The sequence below is a fragment of the Homo sapiens genome, chromosome 9, assembly GCF_000001405.40.
Source record: "Homo sapiens chromosome 9, GRCh38.p14 Primary Assembly".
Classification (NCBI taxonomy): domain Eukaryota; kingdom Metazoa; phylum Chordata; class Mammalia; order Primates; family Hominidae; genus Homo; species Homo sapiens.
The window spans coordinates 62685814-62712135 of record NC_000009.12 but is presented as its reverse complement, the minus strand read 5'-3'; the positions used below and the strand labels follow the sequence as shown (position 1 = coordinate 62712135).

The 26322-nt window shown below is 40.9% G+C and overlaps 3 pseudogenes; 1 reads left to right on the top strand and 2 right to left on the bottom strand.

Annotated features, from left to right (window-relative positions):
• Positions 598-2200, top strand: FKBP4P7 (FKBP prolyl isomerase 4 pseudogene 7; annotated as a pseudogene).
• On the bottom strand, positions 21523-22075 carry SDR42E1P3 (short chain dehydrogenase/reductase family 42E, member 1 pseudogene 3; annotated as a pseudogene).
• Positions 23797-25226, bottom strand: ATP5F1AP7 (ATP synthase F1 subunit alpha pseudogene 7; annotated as a pseudogene).

The following is a 26322-nucleotide window of genomic DNA, read 5'->3' as shown; positions in this document are numbered from 1 at the left end:
CCAGCCTGGCCAACATGGTGAAACCCGGTCTCTGCTAAAAATACATATATGTATATGTAGCTGGGCGTGGTGGTGGGCGCCTGTAATCCCAGCCACTCGGGAGGCTGAGGCAGGAGAATCGCTTGAACCCGGGAGACAGAGGTTGCAGTGAGCCAAGATCGCGCTACTGCACTCCAGCCTGGGTGACAGAGTAACACTCTGAAAAAAAAAAAAAAAAAAAAAAAAAAAAAAAAAAATATATATATATATATATATATATATATATATAAACATTTTTCTGAATAGACATACTGATATGGTTTGGCTCTCTGTCCCCATCCAAGTCTCATCTCGAATTGTAATCCCCACACGTCCGAGGAGGGACCTGGTGGGGGGTGGTCGGATCACAGGGACAGTTTCCCCGATGCTGTGCTGGTGCTGGTGAGTGAGTTCTCATGAGATCTGATGGTTTTTTTGTAAGAGGAAGTTTCGCCTGTTTTCTTTTTCCTGCTGCCTTGTGAAGAAGATACTTGCTTCTCCTTTGCCTTCCGCCATGATTGTAAGTTTCCTGAGCCCTCCCCAGCCACGTGGAACTGTGTCAATTAAACCTGTTTCCTGAGAGGTGCTCCAGCCTCCGCGCGGTCAGCGCCGTAGTGTCCGGCCTGCCGCATGCCCTGCAGGTAGCGCCCCCGCCTGCGGCCCAGAGTGCACTCGCGCCTGCGCCATCTCCCGGAAAAATTTCGCGCCACGCAGAGATGACAGCCAAGGAGATGAAGGCGACCGAGAGTGCGGCGCAGCCGGCGCCGCTGCCCAAGAAGGAAGTGGACGTCAGCCCCAAACAGGATGAAGGAGTGCTGAAGGTCATCAAGAGAGAGGGCACAGGTACAGAGATGCCCATGACTGGGGACCTAGTCTTTGTCCACTACACTGGCTGGCTGTTAGAGGGCACAAAGTTTGACTCCAGCGTGGATCGCAAGGACAAATTCTCCTTTGACCTGGGAAAAGGGGAGGTCATCAAGGCTTGGGACATTGCCGTAGCAACCATGAAGGTGGGGGAGGTGGGCCACATCACCTGCAAACCAGGATATGCCTAGGGTTCAGCAGACAGTCCTCCAACGATCCCCCCATAACGCCACGCTTGTGTTTGAGGTGGAATTGTTTAAGGAAGAAGATCTGACGGAAGAGGAAGATGGGGGAATCATCCGCAGAATAGGGACTCGCGGTGAAGGCTATGTCAAGCCCGATGAGGGCGCTATGGTGGAGGTTGCGCTGGAAGGGTGCTGCAAGGACCAGCTCTTTGACCAACGGGCGCTCCGCTTTGAGGTTAGCGAGGGGGAGAACCTGGATCTGCCTTATGATCTGGAGAGGGCCATTCAGCACTTGGAGAAAGGAGAACATTCCACTGTGTACCTCAAGCCCAGCTATGCTTTTGGCAGTGTTGGGAAGGAAAAGTTCCAAATCCCACCAAATGCCGAGCTGAAATATGAATTACATCTCAAGAGTTTTGAAAAGGCCAAGGAATCTTGGGAGATGATTTCAGAAGAGAAGCTGGAACAGAACACCATAGTGAAAGAGCAGGGCAGTGTGTACTTCAAGGAAGGCAAATACAAGCAAGCTTTACTACAGTGTAAGAAGATTGTGTCCTGGCTGGAATATGAGTCTAGTTTTTCCAATGAGGAAGCACAGAAGGCACAGGCCCTTCGACTGGCCTCTCACCTCGACCTGGCCATGTGTCAGCTGAAACTACAGGCCTTCTCTGCTGCCATTGAAAGTTGTAACAATGCCCTAGAACTGGGCAGCAACAACGAGAAGGGCCCCTTCCGCCCGGGAGAGGCCCACCTGGCGGTGAATGACTTTGAACTGGCATGGGCTGACTTCCAGAAGGTCCTGCAGCTCTACCCCAACGACAAAGCCGCCAGGGCCCAGCTGGCTGTGGGTCAGCAGCGGATCCACAGGCAGCTTGCCTGGGAGAAGTTCTATGCCAAAATGTTTGAGAGGCTGGCTGAGGAGGAGAACAAGGCCAAGGCAGAGGCTTGCTCAGGAGACCATCCCACTGACACAGAGATGAAGGCGGAGTGGAAGAGCAACACGGCAGGGAGCCAGTCTCAGGTGGAGACAGAAGCATAGCGCCTCTCACCAGCCCTACTCCTGAGGCTGCCTGCCCCCCAGCCTCCCCACTCCACCCTGTTAGTTTTGTAAAAACTGAAGAATTTTGAGTGAAAACAAAACAAAACAAAAAACTCCTCTTTCATTTATAAATTACACAGTCTCAGGTATTTCTTTATAGTAGTGTGAAAATTGAATAAAACACATAATTTCACCTTGTAAGGTGAATCCTCCTTGGTTCTCATGTAACCAATGTTTTAACACTCTTCTTTAAAAGGGCTTTTCTTAATGTTGGAAAAATTTCCCAAAACAAAAAGTGCAATAGGGACATATTAAATTTAGCAACCAAAGTGAACAATGTCTATTTTGTTTCTAGTTCCCTCTAGTCACTGTGCTCCTTGGTCACTCCCACACCCTAAATTCCGAAACAAGTGGGCACTCAAATCAGGAAGACCACAGTGGCACTCAAATAAAAAGCCCTCCCAGCATCCCTCTTATTTCCCCTAGGAGTTTTTTTTTTTTTTTTTTTTTTTTTTTTTGAGACGGAGTCTCGCTCTGTCGCCCAGGCCGGACTGCGGACTGCAGTGGCGCAATCTCGGCTCACTGCAAGCTCCGCTTCCCGGGTTCACGCCATTCTCCTGCCTCAGCCTCCCCAGTAGCTGGGACTACAGGCGCCCGCCACCGCGCCCGGCTAATTTTTTTGTATTTTTAGTAGAGACGGGGTTTCACCTTGTTAGCCAGGATGGTCTCGATCTCCTGACCTCATGATCCACCCACCTCGGCCTCCCAAAGTGCTGGGATTACAGGCGTGAGCCACCGCGCCCGGCCTATTTTATGAAACTTTAAGCCCATCTTCTTTCTTTTTTTTTTTTTTTTGAGACGGAGTCTTGCTCTATCGCCCAGCCTGGAGTGCAGTGGCAAGATCTCGGCTCACTGCAAGCTCCGCCTCCCGGGTTCATGCCATTCTCCTGCCTCAGCCTCCCGAGTAGCTGGGACTACAGGCACCCGCCACCACGCCCGGCTAATTTTTTTGTGTTTTTAGTAGACACGGGGTTTCACCATGTTAGTCAGGATGGTCTCGATCTCCTGACCTCGTGATCTGCCTGCCTAGGCCTCCCAAAGTGCTGGGATTACAGGCTTGAGCCACTGTGCTCAGCCCCTTCTTATTTCTTAATTAATTTATTTATTGAGGAGCCATGTAGGGAGACCTAGTGTACAAGCTTCCTGCATTTAGAATCAGTTGGACTTAATTTCTCTCTAATGCTTGTTTTCTTATCTGTGATTTGGTGGTCATAATAATACTTATATAAGAGGGTATGATTATTCCGAGGACTTATGGAAGTAAAGTGCTTAAAATGCTTATCACAGAGCCTGACACATAGTAGCCTCTAAAAATTTGTTACCAGGCACTGCGTTGGTAACATAAAAAAAAATTCTCCTGTTTTCAAGTATACTACTGTTTCACAAGGGAGAGAAAAAAACATAAAAATAAAATTAAAAGTTAATTTTAATTAACTTTAATTAAAAGTTTATTCTAAAGATATAGTAGGTAAATTTTTATCTGAAGAATTAAAAATGAGCAGGATACTATGATTCATTTTAAATTAATTTTTGTGCATGGTGAAGTGCAGGTCAAGATACATGTTTTTCCCCATTGTATTAGTCAGGGTTCTCCAGGAAAAGAGAACCAGCAGAACAGCAGAATGTCTATCTGTCCGTCTATGTATCTATCTACCTATCTATATCAAGAGATTTATTTTTTAAAATTGGCTTACACAATTGTAAGGGCTTGGTTAATCCAAAATCTACAGGTTAGGCCAGCAGGCTCAAGACCCAGGGAAGAGTTGCAGTTTGACTCCAAAGGCAGTCTACTAGCAGAATTCCTCCTTGCTCAGGAAGTGTCAGTCTTTGCTCTATTATTATTATTATTATTTTTTGAGACAGAGTCTTGCTCTGTCGCCCAGGCTGGAGTGCAGTGGCATCTCAGCTCACTGCAAGCTCCACCTCCCAGGTTCACACCATTCTTCTGCCTCAGCCTCCTGAGTAGCTGGGACAACAGGCACCTGCCACCACGCCCGGCTAATTTTTTGTATTTTTAGTAGAGATGGGGTTTCACCGTGTTAGCCAGGATGGTCTCTATCTCCTGGCCTCTTGATCTGCCCACCTCAGCCTCCCAAAGTGCTGGGATTACAGGCGTGAGCCACCGTGCCTGGCCAGTCTTTGCTCTATTAAGTCTTTCAACTGATTGGAGAAGGCCCTTCCACACTATGGAGGGTAATGTGCAAACCCTAAGTCCACTGATTTATGTATTGTTCTTATCCAAACGAAAAAATCTTGACAGAAACATTCAGAATAATGTTTGACCAAATATCTGGGCACTGTGGCCCAGCCAAGTTTAAAGACAAAATTACCCACCACACCTACAGATATCTAACTGACCTAGTAAATTTTATGGAAAAGACTATCTTTTTGTCCGTTGAATGGAAGTGGCATCTTCAGGAATATGTATCTAAAATATCTATTCTGCCTTAATTATAGTGTTTATAGTAAAATAATTCTCATATGTAATACATATGAGAATATGTAAATAAATTATGTAATACATAAATATAAATATCATTTATAGTAAGCTAAGTCAAAGTTTAATTTTTAGCAACATTTATTCAGGATGGATCATAGGCCACAATGTGGAAGCTTGGACAGTAAAAACAATACAAATTCTATAACAAAAAAGTACAAAATATCTTCCATGACCTTGAGATAGGCAAAGATTTCTTAAACAGGACCAAAAAGACACCAAATATTTTTAAAGTTTATTAAATTGAACTTCTATAAATTAATGACTTCTATTCATCAAATAATATAATTAAGTTAGTTAATCTTGATGTCATCCCATTTGTTTATTTTTGCTTTTGTTCCCTATGCTTTCAGGGTTATATCCAAAAAATTGCTGATCAAACCCATATCTTGGAGCATTTTCTCTGTTTTCATGTAATAGTTTTCCAGTTTCAAGTCTTATATTTAAGTCTTTCATCAATTTAGAGTTAATTTTTGTATATGGTATGATATAAGGATCTCATTTCATTCTTCTACATGCGGATACTCAGTTTTTCCCACAGCATTTATTGAGAAGGCTGTGCTTTCCCCACTGTGTGTTCTAGGAACCTTTGTCAAAAATCAAATGGCTGGGTTTATTTCTGGGCTTTCTATCCTGTTCCATTGGTCAATGTGTCTGTTTTTATAGGAGTACCTATGTGGTTTTAATTAATATCACTTTATAACATGTTCTGAAATCAGGGAGTATAATGCCTCCAGCTTCGTTCTTTTTGCTAAATATTGTTTTGGCTATTCAGCATCATTTGTGTCCTCAAGTCAATACTCTAAGTTCCTACTCAAGAAATAAGAAAGAAGAACAAAGTAAATTCAAAACAAGGAAAATGAGGGAAATAAAAATAAGAGCACAGCTAATATCAAAAAATCAATCACTTTCCTATACATCAGCAATAAACAAGTGGAATTTGAAATTAAAAACAGAATATCATTTACATTAGCACCCCTAGAAATTAAAAACATAGGTATACATCTACCGAATTTGTATAAGATCTATATGAGGAAAGCTATAAAGCTGAGGAAAGAAATCAAAGAACTAAATACATGGAGAGCTATTCCATATACATGGATAGAGAGACTCAATGTTGTCAAGATGTCTTTCTAACTTGATTTGTGGATCCAGTGCAATGCCATTCATTACAACAGCAAATTATTTTATGCAATCTAAAATGTACATAGAGAGACAAAATATCCAGGTAGCAGAGCGTAGAATAATGTTTGCCAGGGGTTGGGGGTAGGGGAAATTGGGAGACGTTGAGTAAAGGGTCCAATTTCAGTTATGCAAGAGAAATAAGTCCTGGAGATCTAATGTATAGCATGGTGACTATTGTTAATAATACTGTATTGTATACTTGGAATTTGCTAAGAGAATAGATCCTAAGAGTTCTCATACAATAAAAAAGGAAGGTAAATATGTGAGGTGATGGATATGCTAATTAGCTTGATTATGGTAGTCATTTCACTATGTTCATGTTTATAAAAATACCACATTGATGCAAGCTTTTGGGCTGGGGATCAGAGTTCTGGTGCGATTCTAGACTCTTCTCAAGAAGAATCTGAATACACTCTTGTGGGGATGGTACAACCAGCCTAGTTCCTGTGACAGTGTTCTTTCCCCTGTAGCCAGATGTGGGTTGGGTAGTGAGAGGTTAGTCAAGGTTAGTCAGCTCCAGAAAGTCTGTCTGTCTCCACAAAGGGGAGTGACAAAGAGCGGGAGCCTGAACTCAAGTGAAGAGCAATCATGAGGGCGACCTCATAAGGAGGACTTCTCAAACACGGGGCCATCTAAGTTTCACAATGACCGTAAAAGAAAGCCATTGTTTTTTTTTTTTTTTTTTTTTGAGACGGAGTCTCGCTCTGTCGCCCAGGCTGGAGTGCAGTGGCGGGATCTCGGCTCACTGCAAGCTCCGCCTCCCGGGTTCACGCCATTCTCCTGCCTCAGCCTCCCAAGTAGCTGGGACTACAGGCGCGCGCCACTACGCCTGGCTAATTTTTTGTATTTTTAGTAGAGACGGGGTTTCACCGTTTTAGCCGGGATGGTCTCGATCTCCTGACCTCGTGATCCGCCCGCCTCGGCCTCCCAAAGTGCTGGGATTACAGGCGTGAGCCACCGCGCCCGGCCAGAAAGCCATTGTTATCTCCATTTTCTGATGAAGTAGTCTGAGAAATAATGAGACTTTCCTGAAGAAAACCAGTAAACAGCAAAGTCAGCATTTATTCTTTTCACTCCACAGACATTTTTATCTAGGTATTGTTCAAAGGACTAAATGTGTGTCAGTCTTCATTAGTCATGGATTTTTATTTTAAAAAGTGTGGTCAAAAATACTTTATTAAGTGGGTGATATTTAAATAAACCCTTGCATGAAGTGAAGAAGCAAGCTCTGTAGATATTTGTGGAAAGAATGTTTCAGGTGGACAGAACAATTAAAAGGACTAAGGCTGGAGAAGGCCTGGCCAGTTTAGGGAACATCAAAGATACAAGGGGTGAGGGTGAAAGGGAACGGGTAGAAACGGAGATGGAAGAAAGTTTTTTGTCTTTACCTAACAGTCATGGGATGAGCAACTCAGCTTTGCATGATTATCCGAGTACAGGTTTCTTTCAACTTTTTGCTGTTCCATGCCCCAGGGTATGGTCCATATCTGCCTAATCACAGCTGGGTCATGTGCTTGTAACAGAAGGGGAAAGAGGGCACATTCTAGGGCAAGTAGCTTATTTTGTAATTTGAAGATGTCCTATACGGTCGATTGTTTCCAAAGATGACTGCAACACTCCATTCTATCTTACATGCCCTTTTGCAATATGACTTTTCCACTTTTCCATCAAGACATAGAATCTGTCTTACCTCCCCTTAAATCTGGACTAATCTTATGAGTTGCTTTAACCAATATCATGTGGTAGAAATGACAATGTGCAACTCCAAAGACAAAACTTCAAGAATCCCCACACCTTCCATTTTTTATGTCTTGGAATGCAGCTGCCATGCTGATAGAAAGCTAAGCTAGACTGACGGAGGAGAACAGAGCCCCAGAGTCAGCCAATAGTCAGCACAACTACCAGCCATATGATTTAAACCATAATGGAAGTTCTAGCCCTGGCTGAGCTCCATAGGAGTGAAACTGCAAGTGTGAGCTCATAAGAGACCACCAAATGAGCCTGACTCTTAAATATTTGGTGTAAGCAAGTGTGAGAATGGAGTTTCCACCAGATGAGATTAGGAAGTTTACAGGTAAACAAAGTTTTGAATGCAAAGATCAGGAGTTCAGGTTTGAACATTGGTAAGTTTGAGCTATCTCTAAGACATCTAAAAAGAGTCAAATAAGCCTTTTGGAATTTTAGTTTGCAGTTTGGGAGAGAGGTGTTGGCTAGAGAGCCACATTTGGAAGTCAGTGGCATATGGATGGAACTAATGCCAAAAGACTGACTGAAACAAGAAAAAAAATTAACAAGGAGGAGTCGTAATCAATTATATCAGATGCTGCAGATAGTGTGAGTAATGTGAGAATTGAGAGTTGACCACTGATTTTAGCAATGTGAGATTTGTTGGACACTTTGACAAGAGCAGTGTAGGGGAAGTGCTGAAAAATCTGATTGGACTGTGTTTACAAGAATAACAGAGAAAAATATTTTAAAAGAGTGTGGATAACTCCTTCAAGGAATTGTGTTGCAAAAGAGAATAGAAATGGGACAGGAGCTGGCAGAGAAAGTAAAGCCAAGAAAAGTTTCTTTTTGTTTGTGTTCTATTGTTGTCATGCCCTTAAGGATAGGGAATATAGCATGACTGGATGTTAATAGAATTTTCCAAGGAAAAATCCAAAGGCCAGAGGTGAGCTAATCTTGCGACTTCTATTTTTGAATAGGTGAAGTATGAGCTTCGTATATGAGTAAGGGTAGTTAGTCTAAGTTAAAAGGTGAGAAGGCAGACTCTGTGGGTGTAGGTACTGGTGGGTAAGTGTCTTTGTTCATTTTGTGCTGCTGTGACAGATGACCACAGATTGCGTGATTAATTTTTTCACAGGTATAAAAGCTGTGAAGCCCGAAATCAAGATGCCAGAATTTGATATCTGGTGAGGCCCTTCTTGCTGCCTGTGCACATGACAGAAGGCAGAAGGGCAAGAGAGCCAAATGCTGCATTTAGCCTCTTTTTTAAGGGCTTTGCTGCAGTTTGAATGTGTCCTCCCAAAAATCATGTGTTAGAAACTTAATTATCATTAAAATAGTATTAAGAGGTGATTACACTATGAGGGCTCTGCCTTCATAAATGGATTAATGCTGCTATTGTGGGAATGGGCTCCCTATAAAAGGACCTATTTGGCCTGCTTTTTTCTCTCTCACCCCTTTTTTATGCCCTTCACGATGAAAGGACACACATGAAGGCCCTAGGCAGGAGTCAGCCCCTTGATCTTGGACTTTCCAGCTCCAGAATAGTGAGCCAATAAATTTCTGTTTATTATAAATTACCCAGTCTGTGGTATTCTGTGTAACAGCATAAAATGGACTAAGACAGTCCTTAATCCTATTCATGGAGGAGGAATCCTCATGGCCTAATTCCTCTTAAAGGCCTCACCTCTCAATATGATCACATTCTTCATTAAGTTTCAACATATTAATTTTGGCAGAAATACATTCAAATCATAGCATTCTTCTCTGGCCACTCAAAATTCATATCCTTCTCATGTGCAAAATACATTATTAATTCCATCCCAATAGCCCCAAAAGTTTTCATTCATTCCAACAACAACTCAAAAGTCTAAAGTCCAGAGGTTTATGTAAATCAGGTATGAGTGAGACTCAAGGAACAATTCATCCTGAAGCAAATTTCCCTCCAGCAATGAGGCTGCAAAGTCGAATAAGTTATTAGCTTCCAAAAACACAATGGTGGTATAGGTGTGGGATAGACATTCCCATCCTGAAAGGCAGAAATTGGCTAAAAGAAAGGGGTAACAAGTTCTGAGTAAATCCAAAACCCAAAAGGGCAAACAACATTAGATCTTAAGGCTTGAGAATAATTTTATTTGACTCATGTTTTACCTTCAAGGCAGACTGGGGCAGGGGTTGGATCCCCAAGGCTCCAAAGGCCACAACCCCATAGCTTTGCTGGGCACAGCCCACACCACAGCCCTCATGGGTTGGAGTCTCCTGCCTGCAGCTCTTTCACGCTGGCATTGCATGCTGGTGACTCTAAAATGTGGAGGTCTCCAGCATGGCCCTACCCCCATAGTTCCACTAGATTTTGTGTTAGTGAGTACTCTCTGAGGTGGCCCCACTCACACAGCTCCACTGTGCATACCTCTGGTGGAGACACTCTGAGGCATTCTCTGAAACCTAGGGGAGGAAGCTAAGCCTTCAAAGCTCCTGAACTCTGTGCACTTGCAGAGTTCGCACTACATGGATGCTGCCAAGTGCTATGGCCTATACCTCCTGAAGCAGTGACTTGAGCCACACCTGGGCCTGCTTGAGCCATAGCTGGGACAGCCAAGGAGCACTGTGCCAGAATGCAGGGAGCAGAGATTTGAGGCGGCCCTGGATGGTAAGCCTCAAGTTCCCATGGGCACCCTGGGCCCCTCCCTCAAACCTGTTCTGCCCCCAAGGCCCTAGCACTCTGCCTGTGAAGAATGTGGCGGCCTCAAAGATCTCTGAAATGTCTTCGCGGTCATTTTCCCATTATCTTGATAAATTGTTCCTGGCTTCCTGCTATTCACACTAATCTGCTTATCAGACTGTCAATTGGGCACACCCTTGGTTTTCTCTACTAAACATGCTTTTTTATTATTTACATGGCCAGGCTGAGAATTTTTCAAATCTTTACATTCTTTACATGTGAGAGCTTCCCTTTTGATTATAAATTCCATCTTTAAGTCATTTCTCTCTTTTTGCATTTTGCTATGAGCAGTTAAGAGAAGCCGTGCAATTCCTTCAACATTTTGCTGCTTAGAGATTTCTTTCATCAAGTATCCTAGTTCATCACTCTTAAGTTCTACCTCCCACAAAATACTGAGGCAGGAACATAATTCAGCCAACTTCTTGGCTACTTTGTAACCATGATGGCCTTTCTTCCAGTTTCCAGTAAGGTGTTTCTGATTTCTCTTTAAGATACCATAATAAAGGCCCTCACTGTCCATATTTCTACCAGTATTCTGGTCACAACCACTGAGATAATATAAGAACTTGTCTAAGATGAACTAAGAAGGTTCAGGCTTTCCCTACAGCTCTCCTTTTGTTCTGAGCCCTCACCAGAATCACCCTTAATGTGCCATGTTGGGCCATACAGGCTTTTTCAGCATTCCCTTTAAAACGGTTCCAGCCTCTACCCATTACTCAGTTCCAAAGCTGCTTCTACATTTTCAGGTATTTGTTGTAGCAACACTCCATTCTCCTGGTATCAATTTTGGTCTCAGTCTATTCGTGCTATTATAACAGAATACCACAGCCTGAGTAATGTGTAAAAAAAGAAATTGGCTGGGTGCAGTGACTCATGCCTGTAATCCCAGCACATTGGGAGGCCAAGGCCGTGGATCACTTGAGGTCAGGAGTTTGAGACCAGCCTAACCAACATGGTGAAACCCTGTCTCTACTAAAAATACAAAATTAGCTAGGCGAGGTGGCGCACACCTGTAATGCCCACTACTTGGGAGGCTGAAGCAGGAGAATCCCTTGAACTTGGGAGGTGGAGGTTACAGTGAGCCGAGATTATGTCATTGCATTCCAGCCTGAGCAACAAGACTGAAACTCTGTCTCAAAAAAAAAAAAAAAAGAAAAGAAAAGAAGTTTATTTTCTCACAGTTCTAGAGGCTGACAAATTCAGGATCAAGGAGACAGTGAGGTCCTTTTGGCATCTGGTGCGGTCCTTTTCGCTGCATTCTCACCTGGCAGAAGGTAGCACGGCAAGAGGGCCAGACGCTGTGTGAAGCCTCTGTTAGAAAGACCTTTATCCCCTTGATGAGGGAGGAGCCCGCATGGCCTTAAAGGCCCATCTTTTAATACTGTCACATTGGCCATTAAGTTTCAATACCTGAATTATGGAGGAGACACATTCAGATCACAGCCATAAGCCAATGTGATGTTGGAAGCTCATGGACATTCTTTTTTGATTGCTTCAGTTTTCTGGTGAAGTAGGGAGCTAAGAATGAGACTGGGAGAAGAGACACTGGCATTTCAAGGAAAGAGAAAAGAGAGAAAAAGTGTTATCTAAGAGAATGAGAGGGTAAACAGGTGTGAAATGTTGTGTGATGCTTTGCAGCTTTAAGGGTACCTGTTATGTTCAGCCTTCACTTTAGAGATGAAGACCCTAAGTCCTGGAGAAGTGATATGCCCGTCCTTGGATCATGCGGCCAATTGAAGTGGAGTCCTTACTAGAACCCAGGACTCCAAATGGCCACCTCAACAATATTTCATGTATGTGCTCCATGTGGTCTTCTGTGTTATAGTTTAGCTACTGAACATAATAGATCTCCAAGTCAAAAAGGCTATTTTTAATACATTTTTTACATGACTGTTCATGTAAAAAGAAACAGACTTTCACTTTGAGACACTTATTTTTTCCTTCAAGCCTGTCTTGCAGATTCCATCAGTACAAATGTCTTATTTATTAAAAGTACAAAGACAGACTTTGAAGCAGAAATTTAAAATGCCCACCTGGGAAAAACCAGATGAAATCTTCACGATCCAGTTCTGTGACAGGTGAGCCAGCAGCAGGCTCCCCATGTCTCCTAAGATACGGGCTTCCACCAGAGAAAAGAGAATATCTAAAGTGCTTTAATGCAACCTGTCCAAAAGTAAACTTTTTCTTTCTCTGGTGAAGAAGACAAAAGGAAAACTTTAAATCTACTCGAAGTTTGTAAAAGAAGCATGACAACTCTTGCCTAGTAGGGCTGTGGCTAGGGCTGGTTCCTAGAGTGGCCATGATGATGGGAGGAGCATGCTAGGATTGGTTCCTCAGCTAGGCCTCCAGACAAGTATGGGGGCACCAACTTTGTGTAACTACCTTCCCACTCATTTTGAGAGCCACAGAGTTTGCACCCTGCACTTGCTGTCTGGTGGCTTTCAACTCCCATTGTCAGCCCTTCCTTGGAGAGATGTATTATATTAATACTTTCCATTGAAGGGCACAGTTTGGTGTCTTATTACCTTCTTACAAAGATCTAGAGCTGCCTTTCTCTACCAGGGCTCCTCATCTGAACCTCAGAGCATGGGAAGTGATGTGAGTAACTGTTTCAGCTCACCAGAGAACAACTACTTGCACGTATAGTAGTTGCTGTCTGTTGTCCAGTCCCAGAAGAGGTTCAGCCACTCACACATCTTTCCAAAATTGGCGAACTCTGTTTTGGTACAGCAAGGATGATGTTTGCAAAATGCTGAGACAAGCAATCACTACAGAATTTTTCAAATCTAATGTATTAGAAGATACAGAGATGTTAAAATGTTGGATATGTTAAAAGTTATCATTGTAATTGGAAAATGTGTTGCTTCTTTAAACTGTGATGGATCATTATACTGATAAAATTTAGTATTCACTCTATGGGAAAAAGCCCAAGCTCTGCTCCAAACATTTTATTTCTACATTAATTCTGCTAATTTCATCTTTCCTCCTTCCCTCGCCCTTTGGAAGGGTAAAATATTTAAGTTGAAGAGAAAAATCTAATTTTAAAAACAATTTTTGTTTAAAACTTGTTTTTGATTTTCATATTATATTTATATTCTGTCTATAAACAGAATCAATAATGAAAGCCATAGATTATGATGGAAGAGCTTCTTAGGTCCATGCTAAAAATGAAACAAAAGCTTATACCTTTACTAGATTTCAACATAAAAAATATATGCATATGATTAAAGAAACCCATAAATAAGGGGAAATCTCACAGAAGTGAAATAAGATTTGAATATGGAAAGAAAAGGACCCAAAAGTCATTGCACATTCACAGAAATCTAGTTTTCATTATAAAGATCATCTTATGACATGCTTTTGCAACATCAGTAGGTAGAATTTCTTTTAGCACAGAGCCTGACCACACTTTCTTTCAAAAATATGGAGTTAATATGTCACTTTTGAAATCATTATTATGATTTTTATTTCCTCAATGTTATACTGAACACACTGAATTTAGGACTGAGGCAAATGAGAGTTAGTCTCCTAGTCACAACTATATCTTTTACAGACTAAGAATTTTGCAAAAATCAAAGCATAGATATAAGTTCACTTCTATCCATCTAAAGAAGCACAAAAAAAGAGCTGTTTTAAAAGGTCATGTCATAGGTGGGTACAGTCCCATTGTTTAGCTGCCTCTCTCTTGACTCTCTGACCTGGGACATTGTGGGGATTTGCCTCATTGCAATAGTTGCAATTCCTGGTCCCAGTTCTCTTGACTCTATCCTTGAAGTCAGAAGTATTAGACAGAAAAAAAATGGAGACTTGAATTTTTTTAGAGAAAACATGTGTGGGTAGATATTTAACTGATTAATGTCCTCTTAATTACTTGAACATTACTAGCCAATACATGTGAGCTTTTGCAGACAAAGGGTTGCAGCCATATCGTCCAATTCTTGTTGGTTACATGTCAACAACCTGTGATCCACTGCACCTGTAAAATACTGTTAGCCCTAATTTCACTCTCATTATTTAATACAAATGATCACTGTTCTTTTTTATTATTTTCTCTTCCTTTAATTTTCTTACTCCCAGTTTTTCTCCACCACTCCATCTTCTTCTTGCATAAACCTCTGCTGGTATCTAACATTCTTTATTCTCAAGGGTGGCATCTTAAAGGGCGTTTCAGATCTTTGGGTCTTACATTAATTTAGTTGTGGGTCCACAGCTGGGAAGCTCAGTATCAAGACTGCCCAATCACTGATAAGAAGAGATAGATGGCCAGGCACGGTGGCTCACGCCTGTAATCCCAGAACTTTGGGAGGCCAAGGTGGGTGGATCATGAGGTCAGGAGATCAAGACCATCCTGGCTAACACGGTGAAACCCTGTCTCTACTAAAAATACAAAAAATTAGCTGGGCATGGTGGTGGGCTCCTGTAGTCCCAGCTACTCGGGAGGCTGAGGCAGGAGAATGGCATGAACCTGGGAGATGGAGCTTGCAGTGAGCCGAGATCGCGCCACTGCACTCCAGCCTGGGTGACAGAGTGAGACTCCGTCTCAAAAAAAAAAAAAAAAAAAAAAAAAGAAGAGATAGATAAGTCAGCTGGTGATCACACTTGACAGAGGCTAAGAGTGAAACTCTGCCTAGGCGATGGGGAGGGCCAGGAGCAGGGGCCCATGCTGTGAAAGGTAAGCCCTCAAACAAGGTGAACAGCGGTGAAGTAAGGGCTTATTCCCTCCTCGAAGATTTTGTTACTATCTTGCCCCTCCGCAGATACGATCCTTTAAAGGTTTCTTATCTTCTTTTGGAGAAAATTCTATACTCCCCTCGTTTTCAAGGACATCTCCAAATTGGTTCCAAAGGGTCTTTCTATTCACAGCTTCCATTAGTCCCTTGCAGGCTCCTAGGCAAACAAGATCATTTATTTATTTATTCATTTTCTTAAAAGTACACCCATTTCCAGCCTCATTCTTGGATCAGGCCCAGCATGGCCTTCCCTCTCATATGTGCACACACTAACCAACTAAAGATGGATTCTAGATCTCCATCACGAAGACTCCTTTAAGCCTCCCAGGGAGGAAGAAACTTCAAGCTTACCATGAGGAAAATATTTTCTTTTTTATACCTCTTTCACAGAGAAATCTTTACCTTTCTATACTGTTTTTATGTAGCTTTTAAGTTATGTCACGAATATTGTAGTGTCCCCATTAACCTCTAAACTTCTTGAAGGAAGGAATTGTGTCTAACCCTTTTTCTGCCTTAATGGTAGTAAAATTTTACTGATTGAAGAATGAATGTGGAAGGATGTTTTCGGGAAATAGCCTTTTGTTTAATACTCAGTAGGTTGGTTTCTATCTTATCTCTTCATAAAACTCCACAAAGTGACAGAATTCCTTCCTTTAATTGAGATCATTCTCAGCTCTAGTCTACCTCCAGATGGTCTGTTTTAAATTAACGGCTCAAAATTTTACTACTCTTGAGAACTTGGGCAAACTAATCAACCATTCTTAGTCTCAGTGTGCTCTTTATAAAATGAAGAAAACGTTAATCCTTCCACTGCTTTGTGAGGCTTGAATGAGATGCGAGTCCCTCAGTTCATCTCAGGGCCCTGTGCTCAGTAATCATCCACTCTTAGGACTGAGCTGAAAGAACAAGCACATTCAAGGAAACAATGGGGTTTAGTTTTTTCCCAAAAAAGTATTTTTATTGCTTGGCAACCAATAAAGAGTTCATAGTTCTTCTACCTCTTCTTTCTCTTTTTATTTAAATAAGCAGGCAATCAAACCTATAGATTTTTCTGTTAAAAATATATTCATTATGTAGACAAAATTTAAGAATGTTAGAAAAACTTTAGTGTAGAGACAACAAATGTCATATAATTAAATATGCCTATGATTATTTTGATTTACATGATACCAAGGGTCTGTGTAGGAAGATAAGTTTAGCCCAAAACAATCTTAGCTGAAGCAAATGCAAAACAGGAAATTTAGACACAAGGAAATAAACACTAGTCCTAAAGTATGCTCTTTAAAATAGCTTTAACGCAGCATAGAGTTTTGCATCTATATTTGTGAACAAAATTATCCATGCAGCTGTCCAATATCTTGCCAGAATTGTAAACTTCAAATTAGGATGCAAACTCAATGTCACTCAAGAAAGTGGTCATGAGGCTGGACTTAGTCATTGGTAATTATTCTGGATTCATCAGCAAGGGCAGAGCTGATTTTACCATTTCATAACACACCACTTCTGAACAGTTTCCTCCCAGGTGCTTAAGAATGAAGAAGTGGCTGTCAGGACTGCACTGGCAATATTTTTCAAAATGTGGATCCCTGGTCATATTAAAATAAAAGTTTTCCCCCCATCAGGTTAGCAGAAATGTAAAATGGAGATTGGAATTTAGATGTAGAGTTTTGTGTCAGAACCACGTTTGATAGTCAGTTACACACATCTGGCCCACAGTTAAGAATGTAAACTAACAGCATTAAGAGCCAGACATCCTGGGTTCAAATACCAGCTCTGCTATATAAGGCTTGGCCTTTCTGTGCCTCAGTTGTCTCACTTGCAAAATCAGGATGATATCATCCTCCAAGGATTACTGTGAGGATTAAATTGTTAATATGCTTAAAGTGCTTGGAACAGAACACACACTCTGTGAAGTCATTACTATTATCATTACATTAACACTTCTCTTTTTGAAAAAGGACACTTTTTCTATTAGTTAAGACAAAGCAAGCCATATATTTGCAAATTCCTAAAACAATGATTGAAATTAAAATTCTATAGGAGAATGACTTAAATTTTCTTTGTAATCAGAATAGATATGCCTCCAGTTCCATTCTTGAAGCAGGATACATGCCAAGGTCAGAAGGAAGGTGACTTCTGCTTTCACAAGCCTGTGAGAGAATGGGATCCGGGATGAGTCCTCTGACTCAGGGGCTCACCTTTCCCACCATGTCATGCAACGCATCAAGGAGGCTCATGTTCTTTCAATTTAAGGAATGCACATTTCATTGCTTGAAAGAGGAAAATTTAAATGTTTCTTCAAAGGTTATACAGAATATTATGACAGACTTAGGACAACAAACAATGCTTCTGTTAACTGTTAGAGTTCTCTTTGGCAGTGTTATTATGAGTTAACTGCTCAGTAAGAAGATGGTTAATATTGAGTGTCAACTTGATTAGATTGAAGGATGCAAAGTATTGTTCCTGGGTGTGTCTGTGAGGGTGTTGCCAAAGGAAATTAACATTTGAGTCAGTGGTCTGGGAGAGGCAGATCCACCCTCAATCTGGTGGGCACCATCTAATCAGCTGCCAGCGAGGAGGCAGGAGAAGATGGAAGAGCAGACTACTGAGTCTTCCAGCTTTCATCTTTCTCCTGTGCTGGATGCTTCCTGCCCTCGAACATCAGACTCCAAGTTCTTCAGCTTTTGGACTCTTGGACTTACACCAGTGGTTTTCCAGGGGCTCTTGAGCCTTTGGCCACAGACTGAAGGCTGCGCTGTCAGCTTCCCTACTTTTGAGGTTTGGGGACTCAGACGGAACCACCACTGGCTTGCTTGCTCCTCAACTTGCAGACAGCCTATCCTGGAATTTTACCTTGTGATCGTCTGAGTCAATACTCCTTAATAAATTCCCTTTCGTATATACATATATCCTATTACTTCTGTTCCTCTAGAGAACCCTAATACAAGGGATTAACATCAGAATTTTGAATTCACCTAAAAGCAAGTGAGGTTACATGAAGTAAGCACAAGAATGTCCTCCAAAATGTACCTTAAATTAAATGGAAAGTAAAGAAGACATGAGAGTTTATTTTTATATTACTGAATGTTGTTTCTTATAAAAGGCATACTTTAATTCAGTAAGTAATTTGAGAGGGTCTGAAGACTAAACTACATGTTAAAAAACATTGCCGGCTGGATGTGGTGGCTCATGCGTGTAATCCCAGCACTTTGGGAGGCTGAGGCAGGCGGATCACAAGGTCAGGAGTTCCAGATCACCCTGGCTAACACGGTGAAACCTCATCTCTACTAAAAATACAAAAAAATTGGCCTGGTGTAGTGGCACATGCCTGTAGTCCCAGCTAATCAGGAGGCTGAGGCAGGAGAATCGCTTGAACCCAGAAGGTGGAGGCAGCAGAATCGCTTGAACCCAGAAGGCGGAAGTAGTAGTGAGCCGAGATCATGCCACTGCACTCCAGTCTGGGTGACAGAGCGAGACTCCATCTCAAAACAAAACAAACAAAAAAACAAAACAAAACATTGCCAATGTTTCCATATTGTGGGAAAGCTATTTATTGGGAAACAGTTTACTATTTTATTAGACCATGCAGATTATGGTGATGTGATATTATACCTAGAGAAATACAATATAGAATAATATTACAGTTTTTTTAAAAGAGCCTTCTACATGTTGCAAAAATCTGATTTTTAATTTAATAGTACTTTAAGTAATCAAGAACATTTTATAAAGAAACAGCAATGATTAGTATTATAAAGATTATCTGTTTGTTTTATTAATCATGGAGAAAAGTTGTCACAATACTTGCCCTTTATGATATTTCAATAAGAATCACCTGCCAAATAATATGGTGATATCCATACCCACAACAATTCCATTGACTTATGAGTTAAAAATTTACTTTTTACTGCAGATGGTTGGTTCCCATGCCCTGAGAAACACAAGATGCTCCATGGAAATGCTGATGATTTTACCTTCATAAAACCAGTTTTATTCACATGTCACATGCCTCAGAAGTCAAGCACAACCTACTCAAAACTTTAGCTCTGCAGTATAGAGGTCTCCTTCTTCTCCAAGCTAAGATCTTTTGGGGAAGAAGAGCTTATAAATTGATCAGAATTTGCTCCCACAAGTTCCAGTGAGCAGAGTAGTAACTGAGAACCCAGGCTTTGTGGCCTTATAAATCTGAATCTACTAGCTGTGTATTCTTGGGAAAGTTACTTAACATCTTGGAGCCTCAATATTCTCATTAAAAAATGAGAATTTAAAAGTAGCATTGTCATAGGTACTGATGGCTATGTGGTGTCATGTGATTCTTGGCGCAGGTCCTTCATGACATTGTAACTATTGTTTTAATTGCACCATGCACTACAAATAAAATGTTGTATGAATTAAATGGAGCTACCTTAACTAAAATAGGTGGTAATTAATGAAAAATGCTAATCATAACCAGAAAAAAAATTTATTTTTTTCTTTTTAAATCAGGATCCCTGATAAAAATCTACCCAGAATACAAATCTACCCAAAATGAGATTATCATCCACAATCTCATGTAAAAATATCTAGGCTGGCACGGTGGTTCACACCTGTAATCCCAGCACTTTGGGAGGCCAACTGGGGCGGATCACCTGAGGTCAGGAGTTTGAGACCGGCCTGGCCAACATGGTGAAACCCTTCCCCTACTAAAAATACAATAATTAGTGGGGCATGGTGGCGGGTACCTGTAATCCCAGCTACTCAGGAGGCTGACACAGGAGAATCATTTGAACCCGGGAGGTGCAGGTTGCAGTGAGCTGAGACAATGCCTTTGCACTCCAGCCTGGGTGACAAGAGTGAAACTCCATCTCAAAATAAATAAATAAATAAAAATATTTAAAACCTAGATTTTTTAAAAAGCATTTGGTAGCCTGACCAATAACTGGAGAGAGAAAAAGTGATGCTCCAAGAATAAACTATTATATTTTAATTCTCAAGTCATTTAAATTGATAATTTTATGGGTCCTTGCACATAAACAGCTGAAATGTTAAATCAATTCATTAAAGTGTTCATAAATTCACTAAATGTTCTTAATCATCATTAAGCCTTAAACAACCTGTGACATCAAAATGATTACAGAGAAACAGTGATAAATTACTTTGAGTTATCAACTATATATTTAAATACTGGGATACTGGTCTAAGTTATTTGGTATTTTAGGGGATATTAAGTATTCCATCTCTAATATAATTTATATTATGTCATGCTTCCCATAAGTTTTTAAACAGAAACTTTAAGAAAGTGATTATGCACTTAAAAAATCATATCAAGCAATATAAAATCTGAACACCAGATTGGTACAAAACATGAATATCACATAAAAGTAACCTAGCATTGAAAATGAGAAGCTGTTACCCTGTGAAATTATAATGTAAAAACACACTAGATAAAATGCAGTATCTTGAGTATAATCTGTTACAAATTCTGAAATTGTGTACAAAATGTATATTATATGGATTTTAAGACCTCTCCCAAATGTAGACTTTTGACATACCTGGCCTGTAAAAGATATATAGGCTGACAGACCTAGGGGAAAAAATGCTATGTTCTGAGCCCAATGTGCCTCTTTGGTCCATAAGTATCATTTACAAGAATAATCATGATTCTCTGATTCCAAACTGTTGCCCCCATTATGAGCCGATTGCTCATACCTGTGGCACCAGTCACTCCATCAAACCTTTATTCTGGGCTGCACACTCCTGGAAGGAACCATAAAGGAGGTCTGAGGGCAAATATCCTTTGTGTTAGGATCTGGCTCATGTCCACATCCCCCTTGCTGGTGCCATATTCAATCCATGAGGACCTACTGGATTCTAGACCTTAGTAGTAGACATAAAATTCCAGAACAGTTTATGGAATTTTACTATGTGGTCCTTCTGTTTCTTAGCATTTTTGTCTTAATCAGTTTAGGCTGATATAATAAATTATCATAAACTGCGTGGCTTAAACAAGAAATATTTATTTCTCATAGTTCTGGTGGCTGGCAAGTCCAAGATCAAGGCATCAGCATGGTTGAGTTCCAGTAACTGCTGATTGCAGACTGCTGATTTCTTATTTTATTCCTACATGGTGGAAAAAGAGCAAGCTAATTCTCTGGCCTCTCCTGTCCAATTTGTAAAATTTCATATTCAGACATGTAAAAGTTATAATGCTTATTTCAAATTGAGAATCAGTAGGGTGATAGGCATTTTAGCAAGAAACATAATTATCTCCATATATAAACTAATTTTAAATATTACAGTTTAGTTTTCCAGGTACTAATTCCTTGGCTCATATAAAATGTATACTTCAGAAAATCTCTTTCCTTGTTTCTGCTTTTTATTCCAATATTATAACTTCTCATAAAAATGAAATAAGATAAATTTAAATGCTGTGTAATTCAGCTATCTGGAAAAGGACATCATTCTTCTGATGACACTGAACATGTAGATGAGGAATCATAATGGAGGAAAGCTATCTTAGTGGGACCAAGTATCCCAGTGGTCACAGACTTAAGGGAAGGGATTCAGGATGTTAGGGATGTAGGGGAGGAAAAACACCATTTACTTCCACTATCTTTTTGTCCATAGTCAATTTTGTCTGAGAGTAGTGATTGCTTTAGAGGTGAAGAGCTAAGAAAGACAGATTCATCTTCATTTCTGACCATTTCACCTCCAAATATGCATTAAAAGCACTAGTGTAAACTAATTTTATTACTCCTATCCTCCTGCAAGCCTGGAGGACATTGCCTGTGTCCCCCACATTGACTTCTTCAAGCAGTTTTTGATTCAATTGTTTCCACCCTGACATAACATAAAAGACAATATGGAACACACAGGTAACATTTATATCCTGGAAGGCTTTCTCTACCTCAGAGAGATGACAGATGTCTCCATGTATAAAGTTGATTCCTTCCAGAATGGTTTGAGCAGGGATACTTATGTCAAACAGAATCATATGGACTCCCTTCTGATTCAGAAACAGCCTAGGCAGAACCCAAAATATCTACCACTTCCTGTAATGACAACAATTTCTTTTTAAAAAAATAATTTTGATTTTATTTTATATTCAGGGGACATAGCTGCAAGTTTTTACACAGGTATGTGGAATAATGCTGATGTTTAGGATATGGATTCCATCACCCAGGTAGTGAGCATATTACCTAACAGGCAGTTTTTCAACCCATCTCCCCTCCCTCCTGCCCCTTCCAGTAGTTCACAGTGCCTAGTGTTACCATATTTATGTCAATGTGTACTCAGTGTTTAGCTCCCACTTACAAGTGAGAACAAGCTGTATTTGGTTTTCCATTCCTATATTATAACAATTTACTTAGGGTTATGGCCTCCAGTTGCATCCATGTTTCTGAAAAGGACATGATTTCATTCTTTTCTATAGCTGTGTAGTATTCTGTGGTGTATATGTACTACTACTACATTTTTAAAATTCAATCTACCGTTGATAAGCACCCAGGTTAATTCCATGTCTTTGCTATTGCGAATAATGCTGTTATGAACATACAAGTGTATGTGTCTTTTTGGTAGAATGATTTATTTTCCCTTGGGTATATGCCCAATAATGGGATTGGTAGGTTAAATGGTAGTTCTAAGTTCTTTGAGAAATCTTCAATTGCTTTCCACAGTGGCTGAACCAGTTTACATTCCCCTCAACAGTTTATAAGCATTCCCTTTTATGCACACACAGCCTCACCAGCATCTGTTGTTTTTTGACCTTTTCATAATAGCCATTCTGACTGGGGTGAGGTGGTATCTTATTGTAGTTTTGATTTGCATTGCTCTGATGATAGTGATGTTGGACATTTTTTCATATGTTTGTTGGCCACTTGTATGCCTTCTTTTGAGAAGTATCTGTCCATGTCCTTTGCCCATTTTTTAATGGGGTTATTTGTTTGTTTTTTCTTGATTTGTTTGAGCTCCTCATAGGTTCTGGATATTAGACCTTTGTTAGATGCATACTTTGCAAATATTTTCTCCTATTATGTAGGTTGTCTGTTTACTGACAGTTTCTTTCGATGAGCAGGAGCTTTTTAGTCTAATTGGGTCCCACATGTCAGTTTTTGGTTTTGTTGCAATTGCTTTTGGGGACTTAGCCAAAAATTCTTTGCCAAGGCTGATGTCCAGAATACTGTTTTTCCTAGATTTTCTTCCAGGATTCTTATAGTTTGAGGTCATACATTTAAATCTTGAATTCATTTTGAGTTAATTTTTGTATACGATAAAAGGTAGGGGTCCAGTTTCATTGTTCTGCATATGGCTAGCTAGTTATTTCAGCACTATTTATTGAATAGGGGACCCTTTTCCCATTTTTTTGTGGGCTTTGTCAAAGAGCAGATGGCTATAGGTGTGCAGAACTGCTTCTGGATTATCTATTCTGTTCCATTCATCTGTCTTTTTTTGTACCAGGACCAAGCTGTTTTGCTTACTGTAGCCTTATAGTATAGTTTGAAGTTGGGTAGTGTGATGCCTCCAGCTTTGTTCTTTTTGCTTAGGATTGCTTTAGCTATTCGGGCTGTTTTTTGGTTCTATATGAATTTTAGAATAGTTTTTTCTAGTTCTGTGAAAAATGACATTGGTAGTTATAGCATTAAATCTTTAAACTGCTTTGGGCAGCATGGTCATTTTAACAATATTGATTCTTCCAATCCATCAGCATGGAATTTTTTTTTATTTATTTGTGTCATCTGTGATTTCTTCCAGCAGTGGTTGGCAGTTCTCCTTGTAGAGATCTTTTTTCTTTTTCACATTATGGAACCTTTACTTTTCATGTGATTTCTGTACATAAGGAGTATGAGAGTAACCCTTTCACAAATGAAACTAATCTACTAGAATAAACAATGACAAAACTGAACTGGTATTTGATGTAAATCCACAGGCGTTTAAGCTTCAAATTCAGCATCTGATTCTTCTGAGATCTTTCCATCAGCCCTGGTAGTGCCCAACAGGGCTTGGTGCCAGCTGACATGAGACAAGAAAGCATTCTCAAACTTTGTAATCTTGCTGGGCTCCCGTTTATCAAGATAGCCCCTAATACCCACATGGATAACAGCCACTTGTTCTTCAATAGCCATGGGAGTATACTGTCTTTGCTTCAGCAACTCAGTTAGACACACACCACAACTCAAAAGTTGTTGAGTGGCAGCATCGAGGTCAGAACTGAACTGGGCAAAAGTGGTGACCTCATGATACTGAGCCACTTCCAGCTTCATGGTACCTGCCACCTGCTTCATAGCCCTGGTTTGGGCAGCAGATCTGACACGAGACACAGACAGACCGACATTAATGGTAGGGTGGATACCTTTGTAGAACAATTCTGTTTCCAAGAAGATCTGTCCGTTCGTGATAGAAATGACATTCATTGGAATGTAAGCAGACACATCACCAGTCTGTTTCTATGACTGGCAAAGCAGTCAAGGAGCCACCACCAAAAGCATTGTTCATCTGGGCTGCTCTCTCTAGCAACTGGGAGCATAGGTAGAACACAACACCAGGATAGGCCTCACAACCAGGGGGTTGGCAGAGCAACAGAAACATCTGATGGTAAGCAACAGCCTGTTTGGATAAGTTGTCATAGATGGTCAAAGCATGTTTGCCATTGTCTCTAAAATACTCTCCCATGGAACAGCCAGTGTAAGGAGCCAGTTACTGAAGTGGGGCAGCATCTGAGGCCGTAGCTGACACCACGATGGTGTAATTCATGGCATCTGCATCGTAAGTCTCTTCACCAACTGGGCAACAGTGGATCTCTTTTGACCAATAACAACATAGACACAGTACAGCTTCTTCTTTTCATCAGATCCATCATTGAAACATTTCTGGTTAATGATTGTGTCAATAGCAATTGAGATTTTCCCAGTCTGTCCATTACCAATAATCAGCTCACACTGACCATGGCCAATTGGCACCAAGCTATTTACAGCCTTAATGCCAGTCTGCATTGGTTCCTGCACTGAAATTTGAGGAATGATTCCAGGGGCTTTCAGACCAACTCACCTATGGTTCTTGGAACCAAATGGACCCTTTCCATCAATGGCATTACGAAGGGCATCAACCACATGACCCAACAGCTCCTCACCAACTGGAATGTCCACAATGGCTCTTGTCCTCTTCATTCTAGCTCCTTCCTTAATTAGTTAATCATTTCCAAACACGACAACACCAACATTGTCAGGTTTGTAGAGATCTTTAACCTTCTTGGTTAGCTGTATTCCTAGGTATTTCATTTTTGTGTGTGGCTATTGTAAATGGGATTGTGTTCTTGATTTGGCTCTCAGCTTGAACATTATTGGTGTATATGTAACCAGCTCAAGTCCAGCTGCTCTCCTCTCAGAAGTCAAAGCATGAGAACTGAGGTGTGGTGAAAGGAAAGCAACTTTTATTGGTCAAATGCTAGCAGATGGGAGAATGTCTGGGCATAAGCCTCAAAAGAGCCATCTCAGCCTTCTGGGCCGAGTGAAGGGGTTTAAGAAGGAAAAAGGTGTGGGATATAGACATGAGTAGTGAAAAGGGAGTGCATATCTGCATGTCTTGTTCCCATAGTTATCTCAAGTAATCTCCCATCTAGAGATCTGATTTGCATCATCCGGACTTGGGCGTAACTCCCCTTGAGTGGGAAGATCTGCGGCTTGGTCTCTCTGCCTGGTTTGTTTCAAAATTGGCTCCTGGAATTTCTAAGCAAGCACATAGTTAGATGAGCAAGCACTGTACACAGATATGCCTGTAGGGAAAGGGCATAACAAAGAGTCTTACACTATAAGGCTACATTCTGAGATTAGGAAGGAAAGGAAAAAAATAGTTTAAAAATGTATTTCGAGGCTGAGGTACTCAGATATATATAGAAATGCTATTGATTTTTGTACATTATTTTTGTACCCTGAAACATTACTGAAGTCATTTAGCAGTTTGACGGGCCTTTTGGCAGAGTCTTTAGGGTTTTCTAGATATAGAATCATATTATCAGTGGCCAAGCATGGTGGCTTACACCTGTAATCTCAGCACTTTGGGAGGCTGAGGCAGGCAGATCACTTGAGGTCAGGAGTTCAAGACCAGCCTGGCCAACAGGGTGAAACCCCATCTCTACTAAAAAATACAAAAATTAGCCGGGCGTGGTGGTGAATACCTGTAATCCTAGCTACTCTGGAGGCTGAGGCAGGTGAATCACTTGAACCCAGGAGGCAGAGGCTGCAGTGAGCTGAGATGGTGCTACTGCACTCCAGCCTGGGCAACAGAGGGAGACTCAGTTTCAAAAAAAGAGAGAATCACACTGTCAG